This window comes from Homo sapiens, chromosome 4 (assembly GCF_000001405.40).
Source record: "Homo sapiens chromosome 4, GRCh38.p14 Primary Assembly".
NCBI lineage: Eukaryota > Metazoa > Chordata > Mammalia > Primates > Hominidae > Homo > Homo sapiens.
The window spans coordinates 74,955,877-74,983,461 of NC_000004.12; the positions used below are offsets into that span (position 1 = coordinate 74,955,877).

The 27,585-nt window shown below is 39.1% G+C and overlaps 1 protein-coding gene and 1 long non-coding RNA gene across 3 annotated transcripts in view; one reads left to right on the forward strand and one right to left on the reverse strand.

The window, feature by feature from the left end:
* PARM1 (prostate androgen-regulated mucin-like protein 1) overlaps positions 1 to 27,585 on the forward strand; it is a 116,998-nt gene that overhangs the window by 22,761 nt on the left and 66,652 nt on the right. The gene's annotated exons all lie outside the window — the stretch shown is intronic.
* Positions 98 to 14,486, reverse strand: PARM1-AS1 (PARM1 antisense RNA 1). The gene is made up of 4 exons (NR_121617.1): positions 14,411 to 14,486; positions 13,615 to 13,765; positions 10,868 to 11,800; positions 98 to 1,483 (listed from the first exon to the last, which is right to left on the reverse strand). It is a non-coding gene; the product is annotated as a PARM1 antisense RNA 1 (long non-coding RNA).

Sequence of the window (27,585 nt, forward strand, 5' to 3'; positions counted from 1 at the left end):
TACATTTTAATGCACAAAGCTCAGTATTTTGGAAGCTACTTATGTTTGCAAAGGTCTCCAAAGTTTAGACCTCCAAAAAAAACTAATTCAAAAGAAATCAGACTAGTAGCAAGTATGAATTTTAATTTAAAAATGGAAAATACCAGCTGAACATACAGTTCTTCAGTTTCTGCTCTCTAAATTCTAATTTTAAAAATTTATATAACACAATGTGCTTTCTTTTACAGAGCTTTCAGGTGGAACACCTGGTAGTCAGCTAATGTCCCCATTATAGAGATGACAAAAGTCAAAACTCATAGAATTGAGGTGACATGTACAAAGTCAGAGAGAAAAGTGCAGAGTTAGAACTCGATGCTGATCTCATTACTCCAAGTTTGCACTTTTTCATTGTACCCACAGCTGTCTCTGCAGTGTCCTTAGGGCATCAGGGATAGGGGAGGGGTGCATGGGCTGGGAAATATGTTGCCAGGTGAGACCATTTGTATAGACTCATGTGTTGGAGAGGGAACTGTCTGCAAAATAAATGCCATAGTAAGATAAACTATATTCTTTGGAGTCTAGACTTGGAAGTTTTTTCTGAAAGTTCAGAATCTTTCTCCATAGCAAGCAAAGGACAAATATATCTATGACCAGCAAGAAAACAACTGAGACTGAAATCTTCCCCAGTTGTAAATGCAGCTTACAACTTTTCACAAGAACATTTTTTGTGAACTTGCATTTCTTTTCTTCCCAGGGGAAGACATGGCCTGATTCAAAACAGGGGGACTGTGAGAGAGATTTAGCACAAGAAAGGCTATTGGTGTTCCCTATGTCTTATTGGCTTTTCGCAAATTCCCTAGAACCTGAAGCCCAGTATTTACTCTATAATCTTTTGCCAATGTTAAACCTTTTTTCTGAGTAGGTCTATGACTGATATTTTTATGATCAGGCTGTACTGCAGGCACATTAGAATGCACTGGGAGATGCATGATTTATATATTTTGATTTTGACTTGTACAAGATTTACATCTGGGCTAAATACATAAAATAATAGAGAGTGGTTTGCCAGTATAAAGGAAAGAATCATTCAAGTTCAGCCAATCTGATTGTATCACCACAGTGGTGGAGGAGCAGCTCAGACAAGTTCTCATTACAGATGTGCCAAGAACTTGGGTTTGGAGGCCCACCTCCCTGCTTTTGAATTACATCTCTGCCATATAGTGGGCAAGGGAAGAGGGAACTCACATTTATTAAATCTAATAAGATGCCAGCCATTGTGTTAGGCACTTCACAGACATTTTAATTTCGGCTCTATATCAGCCCTGGAAAGTTGGTACTACTGGTCTCAATCTCCAGATGAGAAAACAGAGATTTAATGAGGTTTAATAATTTGTCCAAAGCCGCAGAGTTACTGACACCCACATTTGAACTCAGGTCTTTCTGCCAATAAATTCATGTTCTTTCTATTATTCAGCACGTCTTATCTGGGCTTTAATGTCTCCATCTGTAAAATAAGATCAGTAAGCATACCTTTTAGGACTGCTGGATTACAAGAGATTAATTTACCCAGAACAATCCTAATTACAGGAGGTCTTGGATGAATAGTATTTCTCTCCCTACACTTTGTTCTGGTAATAGCTCTGATTTTGTTGTTTGATTTATTTGTTTGCTAACTTGATTGATTAGAGGTTTTTGTTCTTTTTAAAGATTTGGGCCTACCTCAGCTTTTTCTAAGATGCAGAAGCAAACAGATGATTCAATATAGAGGTGCCTATATGACATTAGAAGTCAAGGAGAACCAGAATAACATTTTCTTCTTCTGTCATTTGTCTAGAGTAGAGAGCTGCAGGCAGGGAATTGGGGTGGTGCTGTTCTGTACCCTGGGAGAGTGTGTGGGGTTGCCAGGTGTCTTCTTAACTGTGCACCAAGACCTTTGTGAACAATTTTAATATTCCTTCCTTAAGCAGCTTCAGGGAGGGATTGAAGCTAGACAACAGCCAAGCTGCACCTTAATAGGCCTGCAGTATTCCAAATGGCCTCTCATTGCAGGCAGGTAGCCCAGAGTGCTGCCCATGCCTGGTGCATGGTAGGGAATGTGGACAGAACTTCATGAGAATTGGTAGGGAATGGCAATATTTTCTTGCCTGTAAATGGCAGACTACTCATAGAGAGGCTTGGGAATAACTACTTATCTCAGAAATAATGATTATTTATTTATTTATACCTTGCTCCCTGCCTGAAGGTGGTGGAGCTCTCTGCTTACAGGTAATAAATAGCATCTAAAACTGCGTGTTCCAAGAATAATGGAAAGCATCTATATAAGCCAGAGTGGTTGAAAGGGTGATGACTCTTAATCCTAGGAAGATATTTTGATATTTTTATTCAGCTAACCTTGACTCAGCACGTTCCTTGAACTAGGGATATACAAAAATAATTAAGGCACAGCCTTCATCTTTAATGTACTAACAGTCTGGTGGGGGGCCATACATGTGTACTGAGACTATAAGGCAGCCTAGTAGGCTGTGTGCTGGAGGTATGAATGGAGTATAGCAGAAACCCAAAGCAGACCGGGTAACTATTTTACTTGATGAAGAAGTAATATTTGAGTTACTTTCTAAAGGATAAATAGGAACTTGCCAAGCAAAGAAAATGAAAAGCTGGGGGTAGAGGAGTACTCTGACAAAGCATATACAAAGGTCCAGTGTCCACAAGAAAGACCGTGAGGAATTTATGAGGCTCGACCATAAGACAGTAAGACCAGAGGCCAAGCTTGGGGCCAAAGTGAAATATCTGGTACTCTGAGAAATGATAGTTAATGGGATTAAGCCCTAGCACTGCCATTTCTAGAATGTGGCTCTGAAGAACTTACTAAGTCACCCTGAATCTTGTTTTTCTCATTTGTAAAATGGGCCTAATAACAGTTCCTATCTCTGAGAGTTATGAGGATTAAGTCAAAATACCCCTTTGGACAATTCTAGCACATGGCCATGCTCAATAAATGCCAATTCTTTGTAGTATTTTTAGTAGCAATAGTCAATTTTATGATAAAATCAATAGCACTACATAAGAACATAAATAATGTTCACATTAGGCTTCTCAAGAGTCTTTTTAAAGAAAAAGATCTAGAATAGGGCTATCCAACACAAAACTCTCTGTAATGATGAAAATGTTTTCTGTCAGTGTTGTCCAACTTATTAGTCATTATCTGACTGCTATATCAGACTACTGAGCATTCGAAATATGGCTAGTGCAATTGAGGAACTGAAATTTTCATTTTATTTAATTTAAATAGCCATGCATCTTAGTGGCTATCGTATTAGACACTAGAGATCTAGATTTATAAAATCATAAAATGTTTTATCTGTGAAAGATGTTAGAAATTGATATAAAGCTCTTATCCTCCCCCCCATCACTATTTTACAAATATCTCTCAGAGGGAAATTGATTTGCACAGGGTCACATAACTAATGACAGACCTGGTGCTAGAACCTAGCAGCTCTTCTGGCATCCTAAGCAAAGTTCTTATTATCCTGAAGTCTGGTTAGATTATTATTTCCACCTTAGAGAGTGTCTATTGCAAATACATCGTGGGTTCTGATGTTCCACTCAGCCACCTTTCCTCCCCTCACCATGCTTATTTCTACTTCTTGTTTTAAATAATATAATATGCATGCTGCATCAAGTAAATCCCAAGTAATCCATAACTCACTGATAGATATTTTAGTTCCTGCTCATGGGAACGTTTTGTATCAGCAGCAACTCATTTAGTACAAAATTCTCAGCACCATTATTTTCATAACTAGTATTTTGTTGTTTTTGTTGTTATACTATTATTAATTTTTGTTACTTTGCCTAAGTATTAAACTTGTATCAACAAGAATATTGATCTTTTTATAGCACTTACAAAACATAAATTCAGATTTTTCATCATTAAGAAAATAGGATGATCAAACCATTTAGCAGAGTCATCAGTTAAGAAGGATTGATCAGAGCACTATGGGAATATGGCAGAATAGGAAGTACCAGTTTCCCCATCTAAACAACAATTGCAGTTGCAGAATCTGTCTGGTCTATTTTGGAATTCTGGAATCCATTAGAATGATTGTAACTTACAGGGGAAGGATTGGTAATAGTAAATTTTGGTTAATTTCAGCTTGCAACATGGCAGCAGCTACCCATTTTCCAGCCCCATGGCAGACAGTTGTGCACGTTTCATATGTAACTTGCAGGCAGTTTGTAGGAGCCAGGGTGAGCGAAAAGAATCCTACAAAAACTGGAGATATATATTCTGATTGCTGATTGCTGTGTCTAATCTTTGAGGTGCACACATATAGGAGGAAGCCATTGTTGCACCCCTTTCTTCACGTTGCAAGCCCTTCTCCCTTTGGGTAAAGCAAGTTCCAAAAGATCTAAAGGACCAGTGCACTTTCATTTAATTTTTTCTTCTCCTCCTCCTACTTTATTTTTCTCTTCTTCCCCTTTTGGGAGACAGACATTTAAAGTCTAAGACTTCTAAAAACAACCACATATATGGGGGCATTTGGAAAGTCACGACATATGATCAGGGAAAGGCAGTCTTAAAAACTAACCGAGAAGACCTTAAGTTTACATGTTGGGCTGATCACCAGCACTGACACAGCCTACAGCAATTAAAAAACAAAAGCAACAATTAGCATACCCTGGGGAAGGGGAAGAATCTGATTTCCAAAATCACTATATTATTATATTCAAAAGTCCAGTATTCAACAACAACAAAAATCACAAGACACAAAAACATAGGAAAGTATGTGTGGCCCATTCAAAGGGAAAAATAACCCAATAGAAACATACCTAAAAAATACCCAGTGGAAGATCTACTGTACAAAAACTTTAAAACAATTGTCTTAAAGGTGCTCAAAGACACAGCACTTTGGGAGGCCGAGGCGGGTGGATCACAAGGTCAGGAGATTGAGACCATCCTGGCTAACATGGTAAAACCCCCTCTCTACTAAAAATACAAAAAAAAAAAAATTAGCGGGGTGTGGTGGCAGGCCCCTGTAGCTGGCAGGCTGAGGCAGGAGAATGGCGTGAACCCGGGAGGCGGAGCTTGCAGTGAGCCAAGATTGCGCCACTGCACTCCAGCCTGGGTGACTGAGCAAGACTCCGTCTCAAAAAAAAAAAAAAGATGCTCAAAGAACTGAAAAGTGATGTGGAGAAAGTCAAGGAAACAATGTATGAACAAAACAGAAAGATTAATAAAGAGAGAAAAAGCCTAAAGCAAAACCAAAAGGCAATTCTGGAGCTGTGAAGTATAATAACTGAAATAAAAAGTTTGCCAGTAAGATTCAAAGACAGCTTTGAGCAGACTGAAGAAGGAATCTGTGAACTTGAAGACAGGACAATGGAAATTGTCAATTCTGGAGAAAACAGAAAAAAATATCAAAGAAAAGTGAGCAGAGTGTAAAGAATCTGTGGGATATCATCAAGCAGACAAATATACACGTAATGAAAGTCTCGGAAGGAGAAGAAGGAAAGAGAAAAGGGAAGCTAGATTATTCAAAGAAAAAATGACTGAAAACTTTCCAAATTTAATGAAAGACATGAATATAAACATTCAAGAAGCTCAACAAACTGTAACTAAAATGGACTCAAAGAGACCCACACCAAAGCACATTATAATCAGACTGTTGAAAGCCAAAGACAAAGAGAGAATCTTGAAAGCAGCAAGGGAGAAGCAACTTGTCACATATAAGGGATTCTCAATAAGATTATCAGCATATTTTTCATTCTAAACTTTAGAGGCCAGAAAGCAGAGGGCTGATATATACAAAGTGCTGAAAGAAAACACACAAACAAAGCTGTCAACCAAGAATCCTATATCTGTCAAAACTGTCTTTCAAAAGAGGAGAAATTAAGACATTTCCTGAAAAACAAAATCTGAGAAAGTATGTTACCACTAGACCTGCCCTAAAGAAATGCTAAAAGAAGTCCTTTTGGTTGAAATGAAAGAACACTAAGCAGTAATTTGAAGACATATGAATAAATAATAAAGATCTCAATAAAGGTAAATACATGAACAGTTATAAAATCTGGTAACTTTTACACTTTGGTTTGTAACTCCACTTTATGTATTTTATATGATTTAAGAGACTAATGCTTATTTTTAAAACTATTATCAGTTTTAAAATCAGTCTTATTTTAACTTTGGTTTTTAATTCTACATTTTGTTTTCTACATTATTTAAGAAATTAATGCATAAAAATTTGTTTATACCTTTGGACCCACAATGTGTAAAGATACAGTTCTGTAATATCAATAACTAAAAAGAGGTGGGAGTGGAGCTGTATTGGAGCAGAGTTTTTGTATGTTATTGAAGTTAAGATGTATAAATTCAAATTAGAATGTGATAACATTAGGATGTTAAATGTAATACCATAAGAACCACAAAGAAAATAGTTAAAGAACATACAGATACACAGAAAAAGGAGAAAATAATTAATGCATTTAACTGCAAAAAAAATCAACTAAACAGGAAGACAGCAATGTAGGAAATGAGGAACAAAAAAAGCTATAAGGAATATAGAATAGAAATAAAATGACAGAAGTAAGTCTCTTCTTATCTGAAATTATTTTAAATGTAAATGGTTTAAACTGCCCAGTCAAAAAACAGAATGAGATAATGGATTTTATAACAATGTGATCCACCTATATACTATCTACCAGAGACACTTCAGATCTAAAGACACAAATAGGTTAAAAGTGAAAACATGGAAAAAAGTATGCCATGCAAACAAGAGAGCAGGGGTGAATAGGTAGGCCAGTTAGCAAAAGAAAAATACTGTTTTATTCCATTTATTTGAGGCACCTAAAGTAGTCAAATTCATAGAAACAGAAAGTAGAATGGTGGCTGCTAAGGGTTGGGAAGAGAAAGAATGAAGAGTTATTCTTTAATGGGTGTAGAGTTTCAGTTTTGCAAAATGAAGAGTTCTGGAAATGGATGGTGGTGATGGTTGCTCAGAAATGTAAATATACTTAATGCCACAGATCTGTACACTTAAAAACAGTTAACACATCTTAAATTGTAATCCCCACATGTCAAGGCTGGGACAGGTGAAGGTAATCAGATCATGGGGGCAGTTTCCCCCACACTCTTCTCATATAAATGAGTGAGTCTCACAAGATCTGATGGTTTTATAAGCGTCTGGCATTTTCTCTGCTAGCACTCACTCCATCCTGTCACGCTGTGAAGAAGGTGCCTGTTTCTCCTTTGCCTTCTGCTATGACTGTAAGTTTTCTGAGGCTTCCCCAGCAATGCGGATCTGTGAGTCAATCAAACCTCTTTCCTTTATAAATTACCCAGTCTCAGATATTTCTTCATAGCAGTGTGAAAATGGACTAATACAAATGGTAAATTTTATCTTACATGGATTTTACTTCAATTTTTAAAAATGTGTTATTTCTTAAAAATGTATATTAAACCCAAAAGAATTCAACATACGATTCAAACAGATACTTTTAGGTAATGTTCTTAACGGCATTATTCTCAATAGCCAAAATATAGAAATAACCCATGTACATCAGCAGATAAATAGATAACCAAATATGGTATATACATGCAGTGAAATATTATTTAATCATGAAAGGGAATATAGTTCTGATCCATGCTGTAATATGGATGAACTTTAAAAACATTTTGCTGAGTGAATGAAATCAGACATAAAAGGTCGCATATTATAGGATTTCATTTATATGAAATATCTAGAATAGGCAAGTCAAAGAAACAGAAAGTAGATTAGTGGTTGCCAGGGGCTAGGGAGAGGAAAGAAATAGGAGTGATTGCTTAATGGTACAGAGTTTCTGTTTGGGATGATTGAAAAGTTTTGGAAATAGATAGTGGCAATGGTTGAACGACATTGTGAATGTAATTAATGCCACCCAATTAAGCTCTTAAAAATGGTTAAAATGGCAAATTTTGTAATATGTTTACATATTATAAAATTTACAAATCTTTCTACGTGCCAAAAAATAAAAATAAAAATGGGATAATCAGGTGTAGACAAAGACAAGATCTTTGCAGCAATCATTGTAGTTAGTTATCCTTGAACTAAGGCAAATGTGCTAATGGGACTGTTGTACCTGATCTACACAAATGTATCTCTTCCCTTCTGCAGAGAGAAATATCAGTCTTTAACTGCAAATGACCCTCGCTAGGGAATGGTGCGTGGTGTCAGGGAGTTTGAGTGGACACTGAAAGTTTGCTGCCTCATTCTCCTTAAGACATGGGCATGGTTGTGTAGGAGCAGGGATGGATAGCTAAGGAAGAGAGGGACAAGTCAATTAGCATTATATTCACAGTTCAAATAATACTCTTCTTTTATGGGAAGGAGCTATTAATACTTAGCTCTTGCCCTCCTGAGCGCTTACCAGTGAGCTCTACCTGGAGAACAGCATTCACAATCTTAAACTTGGTTTTAGCCTGGCCTGCATGATTGATGAGGTCACATTAGTCCCCCCACTTCAGACACACTGTCACGTTAAGTTCCTAGAACATTCCTGCAGGCCCTGCTTTCAGCATTGGTCTGTACTTTTCCTCTTTTTAGCCAGTTTAGCTAATGCTTACTCAAGTCTTCAGATCATTTGCAAATATTGCTCCCTCAGATAAGCCTTCGCTGACCTCTACTCTTAAAAAGTAAATCAACTCCTTCCACACCTGGCAAAGCACACACACACACACACACACACACATTGCATCCTTCCTTGATCTTTTGTTTATGATTCTCTTCACAGCTTTTAATACACTTCATTTTTATTATTATGTGTTTAATATCTATCTCCTCCTTAGACTATAGGTTCTATGAGAGTAGAAACCCTATCCCTAGGGTCTAATCTGTTCCTAGACATTTAGTAGGAGCTTAGTAAATATCTGTTGAATTAAAACATAAGTAAATAAAAGAAAAACTCTATTAATAGGTAGTGACTAGCAACTAAACACAATGAATAATTTTTTGTTAAGTGAGTAAATGGAAAAATTACCTGTCCTTATAAGAAATCTAGGTTAGTTTCTATTTCTCTTGAAAGTTTAGGAATAGACTTGCCTAAAGACCAAGAGCTAGAAAGAGACTGAGACTCAAACAACTAAAGTAAAATAAAATTAGTAAATTTGTGATACTTTGTTAATATGACTGTTAAGAAAAGTCCAATGTTTAACACTTGAGCAAAGTAAGCTCCTCTTCACTCATTCCACCCCCTAGATTCCAGGAACAAGACAGTTTGCTTCAACCTTCCAGTTCATCATGGATGAGGGGCATTGTTCTGAAGTCAGTTCTCACTGATAAATTGTGGAGTAAAAATGTTTTTAATAACCTTTTTTTGTATAAAGGAAGAAAGTTATTTGAGACTGAAAAACTGTTTCTTAGTTATTAATACTATCTTCAGGTGACTTCTGCGCAGATAGTCTTCAGAAGGTCTTTTGCTGAACTAGATGATGGCATGCAGATGCATAGCAAGAAAAAGTGGGGATCTGGGGTACAGATGGGCTAGAGCAGGTGGATTCCGGAAACTTCCTGGGCAAGTGGAGGATACAGGTGCTGTCATTCCTTTGTAAAAGGGCAAAAACGGATATTAGAGGGGATTTTCATTAACTTGTGCTCTGTTATATGTGATGTAACTTTCTCCTCTTTTCCTTTCCCCACCTTCCCGTATGAAATCTTTAGTAAAGTTCTTCAGTAAAGCCTTGAGAGGTGGGTTTCACTTTTGAGGTATGAAGAATCCTGCTGTGAGGTTAATGAGCAAAAGTTGCCACATCAAAAAGTCATCTCAAAAACATGACTGTGTGATAAGAAGAATACTTCGCTTCTATGGTATTCTTTTCAAAAAATCATGGCCCATCTAATCATGGGAAAAGCATCGGACTAACCCAGACTGGGGGACATTCTCCCCAGTACCTCACCAGTGATTCTCAAAAGTGTCAAGGTGATGAAAACAAGGAAAGGCTAAGACATCATTATATACCAGAGTAGACTCAGAAAACATGCCAACTGAATGCAATGGAGTACCTAGATGAAATCCTGGAACAGAATGAGGGCATTAATTTTAAAAACTGGTGAAATTCAAATAAAGTCTAGATTTTAGTTAATAGCCATCTACCAATGTTGGTTTCTTAGTTTTGATGAGTAAGATGTTAACAATGGGAATAAGTGGGTGAGGGAGCACATAGCAACTTTTCTATAAATCTAAATTCATTCCAAAATAAATAGTTTATTTAAAGGTAAAGCCTCAAAACTAAAATGGTCAATTTTGGCTCCTTGCTGAACTTAAGCTCCTTGCTAAGCGGACAGTGGTTGTCGCCAAAGTGCCTTGACCTTTGGCTCCTATTAAACATAGCTATCATGTCAAAAAAAATGTTTTAATACGTCTTAAAATGGCAAGGAAGACTTTATTCAGGACTATTGCAATATGTGTCAAGACTATTTTAAGAGGGGAGAGCGATCAGGCTCAACTCTAAATACAATAAAGACAAATAAGGATTTATAACCAATGAGTAGAGTGAGGGGGTGAATGGATGGCAAATCACTGGGAGGAGACATCCAGGGTAAGGGGAAGTTGCTAAACCAACTGAAGAGGATTCTTGAAGGCAAGCCAAGAACTTATACATCAAAAGTGTGTGGTCAGGAACTTGATCAGATATCAAGGGTGGGGGAATTCTCAATAAAATTACTTGGCAGAATTCTTGCTGAGACTGGACTAGGCAAGCAACAGACAGGACAGGGGCCAAGGTTGAGGCCTGGTCAAGAAGAGGGCACAGGGGAACCCAGCTGAAATTCAGTCAAGGAGAGGGTCTTTGTCATTATCAGTCACACTGATACCATCTGGTTCGAATTTGAGTGGTGACTATACTACCCACATTCACCTCATAGCTTGACTTGCATCCAGATGATTTGGTTGTATTGTCTTGGCCTGGGAGCAGATTCCACTTAAGATTTCACATTCACCATCTAGAGTTTGGCCATTGGCATTACGGGTGTTGATGTTATTTGAGCCAATTTCCTCCCAAATTGATTGGTTTGTGGTCCTGGAGACAGTAAGCTTTTGGGATTTGGCATGTGATTTTACAGATGATTTGGTACCTGGAATCCACCAAGCCGTTCTTTCTCAGAGCCAAAGCCCTTGAAATATATTGACCTTTCCAGTCAAAAGATCCTTATCCAGGTGTAAGAACTGTAAAAACTTTACATGTAATGCAAACATGAATTCCATAGATCTGCCAATTTAGGTATAGAAGATAAACTACAGAAGGACTTTATTTTCCTCTGGGCCAGTCCAGCACATTAATTCACATTAACATATTCAGGTAAGGAAGGCTTTGAAAAAATTAATAAGCTCAGTCTCCACTTTGCGTTATTTATTCTTGGTGCAGAATGTACGGTTTTATTTGTTTGTTTGTTTATTTTGTCATTTGGGTAATTCCTGGAGCAGTATCTCTCCATGTAAAGTCAAGTGACAAAATGAGGGCAGCCAGGCAATTTCAAACAGAACCAGTTTTGTTTTTTTGGCCTGTATTCTGACCTAAAATAATCCACACAATAACCCCATTTCTTCACCTGACTTTGGCTCTGGAGACACCTTAGAGTTGTGTCTGCAGAGAGACAGATTGCGTCATGGAGAGCACCAAAGCAGAGGCCTTGCTGGGGTAAGGCCCTTGAAGGCTTATAGTGGCACATCGGCTGGGCTAGTGAAAACAAGTTCAAAGTTGGTTGGGCTTTTTTGTTTTGTTTTGTTTCAGTTCCAAAAAAAATTTTCATAGGCAAACGCATTCTGACTCTTCCAACTCCATAAATACATTCTGAAAAGACATGAAAGAAGGTCACAAAATCCAACCAAATACATGCCTACCTGTAAAGTCTTGTTCTGCTGTCATTTAACTTGTGGTTTTTCCTTGGGGAATCTTTTAATATAGGGAGAAAGTGAAACCATGGTTAAAATATTTGGCAAAATGTAACCATTATTAATAAGCAACACATAGACGGATTGTTAGCCAATACCTCAATGCTTTGAGGTTACTTAAGTATCCCACCAGCACAGTGGTAAAGTGGCAAACACAGAATTCTGTTGCCTTAGAAGAAGCTGACCAGAAAATATAAGTGTTTCATTATTTCTGAAGTGTTTGCAGGTTCCTCCCCTTTTCATTTTCCTTCTTGCAAAACTTTTTAATTCTAGCACCATCTCTTAGCCAGCTTTTAAAATAAAATTAATATATGTTTATGACTTCATTTCTTTTCAACAGTTTATGATATTTAAGGACAAGCCAACCACAGTTTATTTATAGAACTTGATCCTATTTCTGTTTCTTATTTTGTCTCCTGGAAAGCAGAGGAAAGAGCTCTAAATTTGTCAGAGAAATTAGACATTGAACTTTACTTTCCCCAACTTCTACAAATAAACTTGAGCATTTGTTTCAAGATAAGATTAAAAAATTATATCATTTGAAAATAAGATTACTAAAACATTAGGTCTAGATAATTAAATCTGTACAGGTCAGGAAATATAAAAGTTGATTATTCTGATTTTAAGCATTATTGTTTATAAGGATGCTGTAGTCTCTAATAAGACTTCAGCACTTCCTGAATTCTATACCATTTCAACTTCAAATGAGATTTAAAATTTTTACATGTCACACCCTGGTTATTTGTCAGTGTGCATGGAAGAAGAAAGAGGAAGGGAAAATAATTCTGGAACTTAATTAATTGTGAAACCAGCCTCAGCCCCTGGATGTGGTCTTGTTGACTGCAGAGATAAGGCAGTTTGGGGTCAGTTGTCTATTGTGCTTTCTTTTGCCAATGATCGTTCTATTCATTCACTCATTCATTGCATTTTTTATTCATTCATTCAGAACAAATGAAAGAACTTTTCCTTTTGGCCATTTACTTCTGTTCCCTTTTACTCAAAGGTAGCAAAATACATGATGAAACTTCCTTGAACAGAATTAAAACAAGCCTGAGTTTTGGAAGATGTCAAAATTAAATTCTAGAAATACAGGTAAATCTGTAGGATTTTTGGGTTCCAGTCATTCTGAGAATAGTGGTGATTTCCCATATTTAAGAAATGTTTTGAAAGACAGGCTTTGAAAGTAGGCTATGGGCTGGTTTGCCAGGGTGGTTTATGTTCAAAAATGGAAATAACCTTCTGACAGAGAACCAGAATGGACTAAATACAAGCACATGGTAAACCAAGTTTTGGCTGCTTCTCTCTCCTTGCAGGTGGATACTGTGAAGGTAGGTGATGGTGTGTATACAGGGCTTCTCCTGGCAATGAGGGAGAGGGTGCGGAAGGGCAGCCGACATCCCCTACTCTTTCTCACTTACAGAAGTACCCAGAGAGAGCCAAGCTCATGGGTCCCTTGTCGTTGTGTTGAGGGGGCGGCTGTCTAAGGCCCTTTTGTGGCTGTGTTAAGCAGTTTAAAGAGGGTTTGTAGGCACTTAGAGGGAAAGCATGAACCCAAATTTCTATTTTAACATGTAAGAAGGGACTTAAATGCCAGAAAATATAGTACAGCACTCAGAATGTTGTATCACCCAAGTTGCAGACAAGCAAATCTGAATGTAGTTACCACTCCATTGTATCCAGTGCTAGGACATGTGTCTTGCCTTCCAAACTCACCCAGTGGTCCTCTGTAGTCAGAGGAAGGCAGAGAGGGCACACAGCCTCACATTTCATGAGGAGAGCTAAAGGGCCCATCTTGCTGTGAAAACAGTCAGTGTTGCAAGAGGAATGATGCGTCTGGAGGCATAGCTCTGAGGCTGTCTCCTTTCTTCATCAGGCAGGGGAGGCAGAGAAAATAAAAGTTAAAAGACTGAGTAGTGTTGCAATGAAACTAAATACCTCGTGAGAAGGCAGGTGTCTTTGTTCCTCTCCCACCATGGACAGCTGGGCTGTTCCTTCTCTTCTGGGTGCTCTCAACACCTTACTATCAGCTATCACCCAGCAGATAAGAATAAAGTAGCCAAGGAGCAATAGGGGTTTTGTTTTTCACTGTTTTTGAGATTGTAGAAATTGATAGCGCACTGCACTCTCATCTTGAGATCTGTGGGCTGAGCTCCCAGGGTTCTTAACATGGGCCAAGTTAGTCTGGATGCAACCTTTTGTTATTGTCTAAGTCACTGGCAGATTTAAAAATCACAGCGGTTCACAGCCAGATGACCAGCCTAGGGATGAAGGCGGGGCAGGGGGCGGTCAGTATCTCCACTCACATGTCATCTAGTCACGATGCAGAGGTTGAAACACTGAGTTAAAGGAAGCTTATCTTCATATGAAGAATTAGAGGCCACACCTCCCTAAGCTAAATTTAGAAGTGTTAGTATGTGAACAGGAGGTATACAGTATCTCAGGTTTCCTGGGGCACCAGCCAGATAAGACATTCCAGATAATTCTCTTCCATGCCTAACTTGTACCTCACCAGTCAGGCCAGAGGAGGCACTGCAGAAGGAGCTGTCCTCTTGTGTGGCTCTGTCCTTCTTTTCAAGTTTGAGGGGGTTGTGGACCATGTGAGGCTGGACGGCTCACATGTCAGCCGCCAGGCTCTTAGTTACAGACATGGCAAACTTCCATCATTTAAGCAGTGGCACAGATGTTGTGGAGAAATCCCAGTGCTCTAGCTGTGTGGCAGAGGGAAGGGCCAGGTCTGTGAGAAAATAAAATTATTCTCAGCCTCTCTCCCATATTCCAGTAAGTCTAGATTGAGTAAAACATCTAATCTAACTGTGATAAATAGCTATTCAATTGCCTGGCACATGGATTGCCTGCTTTATAGATTTTACCGAGCATGTTTCAAATCCAGAGACCCTCTCTTACCCTGGTAAATGTCTACCCAGGCTGCTTCCAGCCTGCCTGCATGTGTTCAGGGCAGCAATTTAATTTTTATGTTATCATAAGCTAAACCTAATCAGGAGGCAAATGTTCTCTGACTAATTTAGCTCTGTTTTCCAGAGCAAGAGATAAATACCTTAGAGTGAGAGGCAATATAGAGTTGTGGGAGCCAGCACAAAGGAATCAGGGGCCTAGTATGAGTCCTGGCTCTGCTCCTTCTTCACTCAGTGACTTTGAGATAGTTTCCTCACTCCTGGATTTTAGGTTTCTCATTGGAAATGAAGCTGCATGAGCATAGTGGGGAACAACAGGAGACCTAAGGACTGAGAAGTGAGCATTTGGAGGCAAGTTGCTTACTATGTTTCATCAAGATACCCCTTCTAAGACACTGTATTAGTCTGTTCTCACAGGGCAAATAAAGACATATCCAAGACTGGGTATTTATAAAGAAAAAGAGGTTTAATGGACTCACAGTTCCACATGGCTAGGGAGGCCTCACAATCATGGCAGAAGGCGAAGGAGCAAAGGCATGTCCTACATGATGGTAAGCAAGAGAGTGTGTACAGGGGAGCTGCCCTTTATTAAACCATGAGATCTTGTGAGATTTATTCACTCTCATGAGAACAGCACGGGAAAAACCTGACCCTGTGATTCAATTACCTCTCACCTGGTCCCTCTCACGACACATGGGGATTATGGGAGTTATAATTCAAGATGAGTTTTGAGTGGGGATACAGCCAAATCATATCAGATTTTTTTTTAAGCTTTTGTTTTTGCTTTTACCACTTTAAAAATGAGATGTGTTTCACAATCAATGGCATATCCTATTTTATTAACAGCATTTTGTGTCACTCTTAAGACTACATAAAATAACAAGTGTCTGATAGTTGACACTTTTTAGATTTGATGAAATACAGTCATGTTTTTGTTTCTGAGCTGACTTTGTTTATCTGAAAATAAAGCATGAGGGTGAGGCAAGTCCTCAGATCTCCTTCCTCTCTGAGATTCTGAGTCTTGCTTTGCTGAATTGCACACTCCATCACCTACTTGCACTAGTGGGGTTAATGAGGAGCTGGCTTAACCTTTTAATACCTTACCTCTGATCCCAATCTTTTCCCAGCCTAGTCTAGACTCTTCTTTCTAGAAGAAAGTTTTCAAGGTTTCTGAGAAGTTCAAGGTATTGGGACACATTCTTCCTGCAGCACTGATTAGCTGGATGGTGTCTGCTCCTACCAAAACCAGAGGACATCTTTCACAGCCACAAGCATAATAATTTTCTGTGACACATATTTTATTATTCATATGTAGCTCCTTGAAGTTACTGGTAGTTAGGGTGTGGCTGTAAGTCTGCAAAGATGAGCAAGGATATTGACAACATGCACGCCCTGTCTCTGAGCAGGGAAGGGGTAAAAACACTGAAATTCCTGAGAATGCTCAGTGGAGCAGTGCTGCCCACATCACCTTCCCATGAAACTACAGGGACAGAAGGAGCATGAGCTGAAAACAGGGCCACATGGCTCTGGGATTGCCTGAGCATCTGCAAGATTGTGGTCTACTGTTGGGGAGCCCTGATTTTTGCCCTAAACATTGGATTTGTTTTGTTTTTGCAATGCAAAAAGAAAATACCTGTGATAATACTTACCTTTCACTCATATTCATTCACTTAGTTTTGAAACCGCTTTCTGTTTCTTTCAGAATCCCTTTATTTGGCACTGAGTTATGTATTTGTATGCTTTGTAACAATAAAATAACTTCAGAAAGAAGCACAAATCTAAGTCAACACGTTTCTGAAATCTTTACCTTTTTAAACATCTGCAGATGGATCTGAATGTTCTCAAAATTGTGTCTTTTAGTGCAGTTCTTCGGTAGTAGTATATGAGTTTTGACATTCTGCTGTAAATAGCTTCTTGGAACCAAGAGTTATATTTGGGAGACTTGTTTCTTACTTAGCATGCTTATGAAAATTCTTCCGGTAAATACACAAAGTAGTACTTCATGATTTCTTTTTCCGATCAGCAGAAAGTAACATAAGCTCAATCTGAGCCTAGTAACAGATAAGCCTCTACGTTATTTGGGTTATTTTATTTTAAATGTTAAGTCCTTTGGTGTCATCTTGCTGATGCCTCAATGTGTCCAGGCAGTAAGGGGAAATGAAGACTTACACTGTGGGGACAGGAGGCTTGAGGACATCTGCAAGCTGATACAGTGTAGTGGAGAAGGCAAGGCTTTGCTTTTGAGTAGATGACAGTAAAACATTGGCTCTGCCCCTTATCTACCATGTGATGTTTAGATCTCTGAGCCTCATTGTCCTCACTTACACATAATGAGTCAATCACACCTCACAGTGTTATTCTGAAGATTAAAAAAAATAACAAGAATGGATTTTCTAAAACCCCATCACATGGGAGGTATTTAAATTTACTCCTCTTTCCCATGTCCACACTGCCTTTAGGACCCTTCTTTAACATTTTTTGGTTTGAATTTTGATTTTTGATTTTGTTCTTCAGTCAATGAAGTATAAAATCTGAATATTTTCACAGTGGTACACATTATGTGTAATATAAACTTAAAATAGAAAAATTAGTGAAACCTGTCATCTAAAGATACTGTACAGTACACATGAATATATAAAAAAATTTCCAACAAATATGAACAGACTTTTAAGGTGTTTAAAAGAATAAATGATCTCAGCATATAAAATGCTTTTATTTCCCCCATAAAGATCTCAGCAACTTGAAAACAAGAAACTCTCCCTCCCAACCCCCCGCCCCCCTCACCGCCTCCCCAGTTATATATCACAGTCCAGGGATAGAGCTAGAGACATTCGTCTTCTGGAGGCCACTGGAGAGTCAGGTCTCCTCATCTGCATCTGAGTCCTGGAAGGCAGTACAAATTGAATACAAAGTCCTGTCCTGAGGTATCCTTCCCAGGACCCTCTTGCAGCGGCACAAGCCTAAAGATGGCCATAAAGTTAAATAGACCATTTTTTTTAGGTAGATAAAACCCATAATATTCACACTCTGCAGATTCTGGCTGTCTCCTCTCTCTTGACCCAAGTTCCTGCAGAGGAACCCAGGCCACCACCCTCAGATTTTAGGACACTGGGATCCTGTATTGGTCATGATTAGAGAATCAAATAATAAAATATGTTACATGTATGTGTGTGTGTGTGTGTCTGTGTGTGGGTGTAGAGAGAGAGAGAGAAAGAAAGAGAGAGAGATTTATTGTAAAGAATTGGCTCGGATGATTACAGTGGCTGGGAAGTACCACCATCTTCTGTCTGCAAGCTGGAGACTAAAGAAAGCCAGTGGTGTAATTTAGTTCAAATCTGAGGGCCTGAGAGCCAGGGTTGTTGACGGTGTGATTTAGTTTAAGGACCAGAGAAGATGAGGTGAGATGTCCCACATTATGCCATGAGGCAGAAAAAGAAGAGGCAAATCCCTCCTTCCTCTGTGTGTGCTCTGTTCAGGCTCGCCACGGATTGGATGATGCCCACATACTTTGAGGAGGGCAAACTACTTTACTGAGTCCATGGATTCAAATGCTAGTTTTATCCAGAAACACCCTCACAGAGCTTACCCAGAAATAATGTTTAATCTGGGCACCTTTTGTCCCAGTCAAGTTGACACAAAGAATTAACCATCATGGGTCCCCAGGTCTCCACTGTCATAGCAGTGACACCCTAGGAGGATGGGCCACTGGGAGTTGTTAAATAGCTTTCAAGAGAAGACTTGTCCAGTTTTTCAGACTCCTGTATCTATGTCAATATAATTCGGCTCATTCAAGCTCAGGAGGCCTGGAGACATATAAGGCTTTTATTCCCAGCACTAGCCTGTCAGAAGTTTTCTATTCTCTATTATGGTTTGTTACCATAGAATGTGGAGGTGATTGCAGTCATAGTAGAGAAAGGTAAATATGTGAATGCACATGTTATTGTGACCTCCCAAACTTTGGCCTGAGGGGGTGACTTTCAAGGGCAGTGCTATGAACTGAATTGTATTCCCTTAAAATTCAGATATTGAAGCCCTTAAGCTTCAATGTGATGGTATTTGGAGATAAGGCTTTCAGAAGTAATTAGGTTTAGATGAGGTCAGAAGGATGGGGCTCTTGTGATGGGAGTAGTGCCCTTCTAAGAAGAAACACCAGAGAGCCTGCTCTCTGTCTCTCTCCATCTCATGGGAGAACACAGGCAAAAGGTGGTCATTAGCAACCCAGGAAAGGGCATCTCCCCAGAACCTGACCTTTTGAGACCCTGATCTCAGACTTCTAGCCTCCAGAAATGTGGGCAAAAAATTTTTTGTTGTTTAAGCCACACAGTCTGTGGCATTTTGTTATGGCAGCCAAAGCAAGTAATATGGGCAGCATCAGACACTGCATCAGACATTTGCACATTCCCCCTTTCACCTAACCTTTGAATGTCAGTGCAGTCTCTGCAAAGCTAGAACAGGTGGACTTTGGCATCCAGTTTTCGAAAGATTGCATCCCCTGTTAGATGTATTACACATTCTAATGTATCACTCTTTAAAAAACCAAGCATCTTTAGCCTGGCTTTAGAGTTAAATGAACTCTAGTTAGTCATAACAAGACACTGCAGTTAATGAGAGTTTTGCTTTTCCCAATCATGTTAGAGTGCGGTATTATGTTTCTGTAAAACAAAACAAATAATAGGATGTGAAGCTCCACCTAGAAGTAGTTCAGTTATTTCAGTTTCTTTAATTGACTTTGTGTGAGTTTTTGAGTAGTTGAAAGACATAACTATGGCTGTGAATACAAGGGAAGGCATATTCTTTACTAGGTTTTGGCATTTGCCAGAAATTTTACCAAAACATGCACACCAGAGAAGTTTATAAAATGCATGTATTTCATGAACATGAAGTCAAAGGTATATTTTATAAACATGTAGTCACGTTTGACTACATTTGTTATATTAATTATATTCACGGGGCTAGGAGAGACAAGTAAATTGGTAGTTCAACAACTTCTGTGTAATTATATAATCAACCTCACAATGGCTTGAGTTTAATTTTTTAATTGAGTCTTGCATTATTATAGTTGCAATATATAGATATTGTAGAAAATTAGAACATTGAAGCAATAGGGAGGAGGGGGCAAGATGGCTGACTAGAAGCAGCTGCTGTCAGTGGCTCTCATGGAGAAGAATGAAAATGGCAAGTAAATCCTACACCTTCAGCACAGGTATTCAGGTTTTTCTCATTGGGACCAACTAGACAGTTGGTACAACACCCAGAGAGTGAGAAAAAGCAAGGTGGAGCCACAGCCCACCTGAGAGCCACATAGGTTAAGGGGAATTCCTACCCCCAACCAAGGGAGGTGGTGAGTGATTGTGCTACCTCACCAGGGAAACCATGCTTTTTCTGTGGATCAGGAGATCCCCCTGTGAGCCTATGCCATCAGGGCCTTGGATCCTGAGCACAGAATCATGTAAACTCTTGGTGGCTGCTTGAGTTGTAGCCAGCGGCAGCAGTCTGGAGACTCCCTAAGATGACCAGGTTCCTGGGGAGAGGGGTGATGACCATCACTGTGGCTCCAGTCTGTCATTCTCCCCTGCTGGTGCCAGGGAAGCTGGGCAGTTTGGACTGGGAGGAATTCCCACAGTGCAGTACAGCAGCTGTGGCAGATAATGGCCAGACTGCTTCTTTAGGTGGGACCTGAATCCATTCCTCCTCACAGGGTGGGGCCTCCCTGGGAATTTCAGCAATTCTAGCCAGGGGTTTACAGACAGAACTCTGAACTCTCTGGGATGGAGACCCTGGGAGGAGGGGTGGCCACAGTTTCCACAGTTTAGTGGACTTTGTCTTTCCTGCCTGCTTGCTCTGAAGAGGCTGGGCAGTCCACATGAGGAGGACTTCCCCCAGTGCAGGGCACCTGCTCTGCCAAGGGGCAGCCAGAGTACATTAAGTGGGTCACTGATCTGGTGCCTCCTGACTGGGTGAGACATGCCAACAGGGGTTGCCAGACACCTTATACAGGAGTGTTCCTGCTGGCATCAGATGGCTGCCCTTCTGTGACAGGGTTCCAAGAGGAAGGAGCAACCAGCCATGTTTGCTGTTCTGCAGTCTCCACTGCTGACACCTCCAGGTGCGGGAGGGACCCAGGTGAATAGGGTCTGGAGTGGACCCCCAGAAAACCACAGCAGCCTTACAGAAGAGGGGCCAGACTGTTAAAAGAAAAACAAACAAATATAAAGCAACAACAACAATATTGACAAGAAGACCCTACAAAAACCCTATCCAAAGGTCATCAGCCTCAAAGATCGAAGGTAGATAAACCCACAAAAATGGGAAAAAATGAATGCAAGAATACCGAAAACTCAAAAACCCTGAGTGCCTCTTCTCCTCCAAATTATTGCAATACCACTCCAGTAAGGGAACAGAACTGGGCTGAGGCTGACATGGATGAATTGACAGAAGTAGGCTTCAGAAGGTGGGTAATAACAAACTTTACTGAGCTACCAGAGCATGTTCTAACCCAATGCAAACAAGCTAAGAATCATGATAAAACATTATGGGAGCTATTAACCAGAATAACCAGTTTAGAGAGGAACATAAATGACCTGATGGAGCTGAAAAACACTACACAAAAACTTCACAATGCAACCACAAGTATCAATAGCCAAATAGACCAAGTGTAAGAAAGAATCTCAGTGCTTGAAGACTATCTTCTGAAACAAGACAGGCAGACAAGATTAGAGAAAAAAAGAATAAAAAGGAATGAACAAAACCTCTGATAACTATGGGATGGGATTATGTAAAAAGGCTGAACCTACAACTAATGGGGGTATATGAAAGAGACAAGGAGAATGGACCCAAGTTGGAAAACATTCATCAGGATATCATTCAGAAAAACTTCCCTAACCTAGCAAGACAGGCCAACATTCAAATCCTGGAAATTCAGAGAACCCCAGTAAAATACTCTATGAGAAAAATCAACTCCAAGACACATAATCATCAGATTCTTCAAAGTTGAAATGAAGGAAAAAATGTTAGGGGCAGCCAGAGAGAAAGGCCAGGTCACCTACAAAGGGAAACCCATCAGACTGACAGCAAACCTCTCAGTGGAAACCCTACAAGCAAAAAGAGATTGGGGGCCAACATCAACATTCTTAAAGGAAAGAATTTCCAACCCAGAATTTCATATCAGGCCAAACTAAGCTTCATAAGTGAAGGAGAAATAAAATCCTCTTCAGACAAACAAATGTTGAGGGAATTAGTCACCACCAGGCTTGCCTTGCAAGAGCTCCTGAAGGAAGCACTAAATATGGAAAGGAAAAACCATTACCAGCTACTATAAAAACACACTGAGGTATGCAGACCAATGACAATATGAAGCAACTACATTGACAAGTCTGCAAAATAACTGGCTAGAATCATGATGACAGGATCAAATTCACACATAACATTATTATCCTTAAATGTAAATGGGCTAAATGCCCCCAATTAAAAGACACAGAATGGCAAGCTGGATAAAGAGTCAAGACTCATCAGTGTGCTGTATTCAAGAGACCCATCTCATGTGCAAAGACCCACATAGGCTCAAAATAAAGCGATGGAGGAAAATTTACCAAGCACATGGAAGCTGAAAAAATCAAGGGCTACAAGTGTAGTTTCAGACAAAACAGACTTTAAACCAACAAAGATAAAAAAATACAAAGAAGGTCATAATGGTAAAGGGTTCAATTCAACATGAAGAGCTAACTATCCTAAATATATTTGCACCCAATACAGGAGCACCCGGATTTATAAAACAAGTGCTTAGAGACTTACAAAGAGATTTATACTCCCACACATAATAGTGGGAGAGTTTAACACCCTACTGTCATTATGAGATAGATCATCAAGATAGAAAATTAACAAAGATATTCAGGACTTGAACTCAGCTCTGGATCAAATGGAGCTAATAGATATATACAAAACTTTCCACCCCAAAAATAATGGAATATACATTCTTCTCAGAATTGCCTGACACTTTACTCTAAAATTGATCACATCATTGATAGTAAAACACTTCTCAGCAAATGCAAAAGAACTGACATCATAACAGTCTCTCAGACCACAGCACAATCAAATTAGAACTCAAGATTAAGAAACTTACTCAAAACCACACAATTTCATCAAAATTGAACAACCTGCTCCTGAATGACTCCTGGGTAAATAATAAAATTAAGGCAGAAATCAAGAAGTTCTTTGAAGCTAATGAGAATGAAGAGACAATGTACCAGAATCTTTGGGATGCAGCTAAAGCAGTGTTAGGAGGGAAATTTATAGCACTAAATGCTCATATCAAAAATATAGAAACATCTCAAATAGACACCCTAACATCACAATGAAAAGAACTAGAGAACCAAGAGCAAACAACCCCAAAACTAACAGAAATAAGAAACAACCAAGATCAGAGAGGAACAGAAGGAGATAGAGACGCACACACACACACAAAAAAAAACCTTCGAAAAAATCAATGAATCCAGGAGCTGTTCTTTTTTAAAAAAAATATTAAAATAGACCACTAGCTAGACTAATAAAGAAGAACAAGAATCAAATAAACACAATAAAAAATGATAAAGGGGATATCGCCACTGACCCAACAGAAATACAACCATCAGAGAATACTATAAACACCTCTATGCAAACAAACTAGAAAATCTAGAAGAAAAGGATAAATTCCTGGACACATACACCCTCCCCAGACTGAGCCAGAAAGAAGTTGAATCCCTGAATAGACCAATAACCAGCTGTGAAATTGAGGCAGAAATAAATAGCCTACCAACCAAAAAAAGCTCATGATCAGACAGATTCATGGCTAAATTGTACCAGAGGTACAAAGAAGGGCTAGTACCATTTCTACTGAAACTATACCAAAAAATTGAAAAGGAGGGACTTCTCCCTAACTCATTTTATGAGGCCAGCACCATCTTGATACCAAAACCAGGCAGAGACACAACAACAACACAAAGGAAAACTTCAGGCCAACATCCCTGATGAACATCAATGCAAAAATCCTCAATAAAATACTGGCAAACCAAACCCATCTGCACATCAAAAAGTTTATCTGCTATGATCAAGTCAGCTTCATCCCCAGGATCCAAGGCTGGTTCAACATACACAAATCGATAAACGTTAAGTCATCGCATAAAGAGAACTAAAGACAAAAACCACATGATTATCTCACTAGATGGAGAAAAAGCCTTTGATAAAATTCAACATCCCTTCATGTTAAAAACTCTCAGTAAACTAGCTATTGTAAGAACATACCTCAAAATAATAAGAGCCATTTATGACAAACCCACAACCAATATCATACTAAATGGGTAAAAGCTGGAAGCATTCCCCTTGAAAATTGGCACAAGACAAAATGCCTTCTCTCACCACTTCTATTCAACATAGTGTTGGATTTTCTGGCCAGGGCAATCAGGCGAGAGAAAGAAATAAAGTGTTTCAAATTGGAAGAGAAAAAGTCAAACTGTCTCTGTTTGCAGAGGGCATGATCCTATATCTAGAAAACCTCATCATCTCCGCCCCAAAGCTTCTTAAGCTGATAAGCAACTTCAGCAAAGTCTCAGGGTACAAAATCAGTTTGCAAAAATCACAAGCATTCCTATACACCAATAACACACAAGCAGAAAGCCAAATCATGAACGAACTTCTATTCACAATTGCTTCAAAGAGAATAAAATACCTCGGAATACAGTTAATAAGGGAAGTGAAGGACCACTTCAAGCAGAACTACAAACCACTTCTCAAGGAAATTAGGACACAAACAAATGGAAAAACATTATATGCTCCTGGATAGGAAGAATCAGTGTCATGAAAATGACCATACTGCCCAAAGTAATTTATAGATTCAATGCTATTCCCATTAAACTACCATTGACATTTTTCACAGAATTATAAAAAACTATTTTAAAATTCATATGGAATCAAAAAATAGCCCGTATAGCCAAGACAATCCTAAGCAAAAAGAACAAAGCTGGAGGTATCACACTACCTGACTTCAAACTGGTACAAGGTGAAAGTAACCAAAATGGCTGGTACCAAAACAGTACTGGTACAAAAGCAGACACATAGACCAATGGAACAAAATAGAGAACTCAGAAATAAGACCACACATCTACAACCATCTGATCTTCAACAAACCTGACAAAAACAAGCAATGGGGGAAAAGATTCCCTATTTAATAAATGGTGCTGGGAAAACTAGCTAGCCATATGCAGAAAATTGAAACTTCCTTATATCTTATATAAAAATTAACTCAAGATGGATTAGATTTAAATGTAAAACCCCAAACTATAAACACCTTAGAAGAAAGTCTAGGCAATACCATTCAGAACATAGGCACAGGCAAAGATTTCCTTATGAAAATGTCAAAAGCAATTGCAACAAAAGCAAACATTGAAAAATGAGATCTAATTAAACTAAAGAGCTTCTGCACAGCAAAAGAAACTATCATCAGAATGAACAGACAACTTACAGGATGGGAGAACATTTTTGCAATCTATCCATCTGACAAAGGTCTAATATCCAGAATCTACAAGGAACTTAAACAAATTTACAAGAAGAAAACAAACAACCTCACTAAAAAGTGGGCAAAGGACATGAGCATATACTTCTTTAAGACATTTATGTGGCCAAGAAACATATGTGGCCAAGAAACATATGAAAAAAAAAGCTCAACATCACTGATCATTAGAGAAATGCAAATCAAAACCGCAATGAGATACAATCTCACGCCATTCAGAATGGCACTTATTAAAAGGTCAAGAAACGACAGATGCTGGTGAGACTGGGAAGAAATAGGAATGCTTTTACACTGTTGGTGGGAATGTAAATTAGTTCAACCATTATGGAAGACAATGTAGCTATTCCTCAAACACCTAGAACCAGGGCCAGGCGTGGTGGCTCATGCCTGTAATCCCAGCACTTTGGGAGACCGAGGCGAGTGGATCATGAGGTCAGGAGTTCAAGACCAGCCTGGCCAAGATGGTGAAACCCCGTCTCTACTAAAACTACAAAAATTAGCTGGGCACAGTGGAAGGCGCCTGTAATCCCAGCTACTCAGGAGGCTGAGGCAGAAGAATCGCTTGAACCTGGGCAGCAGAGGTTGCAGTGAGCCGAAATCGCGCCACTGCACAAATAACAGTCTGAGTGATAAAGTGAGACTCAATCTCCAAAAAAAAAAAAAAAAAAAGACCTAGAACCAGAGATATCATTTGACCCAGCAATTCCATCACTGGATATACATTCAAAGGAATATAAATCATTCTGTTATAAGATACCCGCACTCATATGTTCATTGCAGCACTACTCACAATAGCAAAGGCATGGCATCAACCCAAATGCCTGTCAATGATAGACTAGATAATGAAAATATGGTACATATACATGATGGAATACTATGCACCCATAAAAAGGAATGAGATCATGTCCTTTGCCGGGACATAGATGGAGCTGGAAGCCATTATTTTCTGCAAACTAATGCAGGAACAGAAAACCAAACACTGCATATTCTCACTTATAACTGGGAGCCGAACAATGTGAACACATAGACACAGGGAGGGGAACAACACACACTGGGGCCTGTCAGGGTCGGGGGTGAAAGAGGAGGGAGAGCATCAGGAAAAATAGCTAATACATGCTGGGCTTAATACCTAGGTGATGGCTTGGTATGTGCAGCAAATCACCATGGCACATGTTTACTTATGTAACAAACCTGTACATCCTGCACATGTACCCCAGAACTTAAAATAAATAAAATTAAAATTAAGAAAATAAAAAATAATAAACACATTCACATAACTTTTTTTAAAAAGAAAATTCAAGCAACAAACTTTTTTAGTAGCAACTTCCTCTTCTCACCACCCAAAGATCACCACTGTTCTTGAGTATATCTTTAAAATGAAGTCAGTGAATCCTAAGATTAGGGTTTGAGACTGTGCCACCATTGTTGAATGTGAATTTACTCCAGGGGCAGTGCTCTTTATTTCCAGGGTAACTTTCAGAAACAGTTCCCTCTGGGAACATATTCAGAGAAGTTCTTTAAAAGAAAACATTCTAAAGCAATCTCCCTAGTGATATGCTTGAATTAAGTTGTCACCATTCCATGACACGTACAGTTTAGTCCTAATTCTTTTTATATGCAAAATCATTATCACTCCTTCAGTCAATCAGCTCACTATTCAGAGGACAGCTCTCTGGCCCCATGAAGTACACTTCCTAGTTTCATGCATCTTTTCCTACTTTTCTGTTAACACTGCAACAGGAAAAAAAAGTTGAATCTCTACTGCCTTACCTCACCACTGACATCATTTTAAAAATTGTTCCAGGGACCAGATATTGTCTTGTATCTATAGTGACAACTCAGAGTCTTATACTAAGTTAGAGGGAAAATTAGAGGAACTGATTACAATTCATGACCAGGACAGGTCTTACAAGAAGACTCTAGAGCATTCATCTGACCCACCCCTCATGTACTATGAGAGTCATTGTATATCTCAGTAGGTAGTAGATTGTTGTGGCTTTGGTCACTGAATATGGTCTGGGAATAGGTTTTTCAGAAAACTAAAATATCTATCCTTTTCTGGAGAGAATGTCTGAAATCTTAACTCATAACTATTTTGAGGGGGAGATCTTTTAAATGTATGCTTTTCTGACTCAGGAGACAAAACAGACTGCATCATTCTTGCATCTGTGGATGACTCAAGGTCATTGTCACAGAACTTCAGTGATGGAGTGATGTCATAGGATGCTGGTA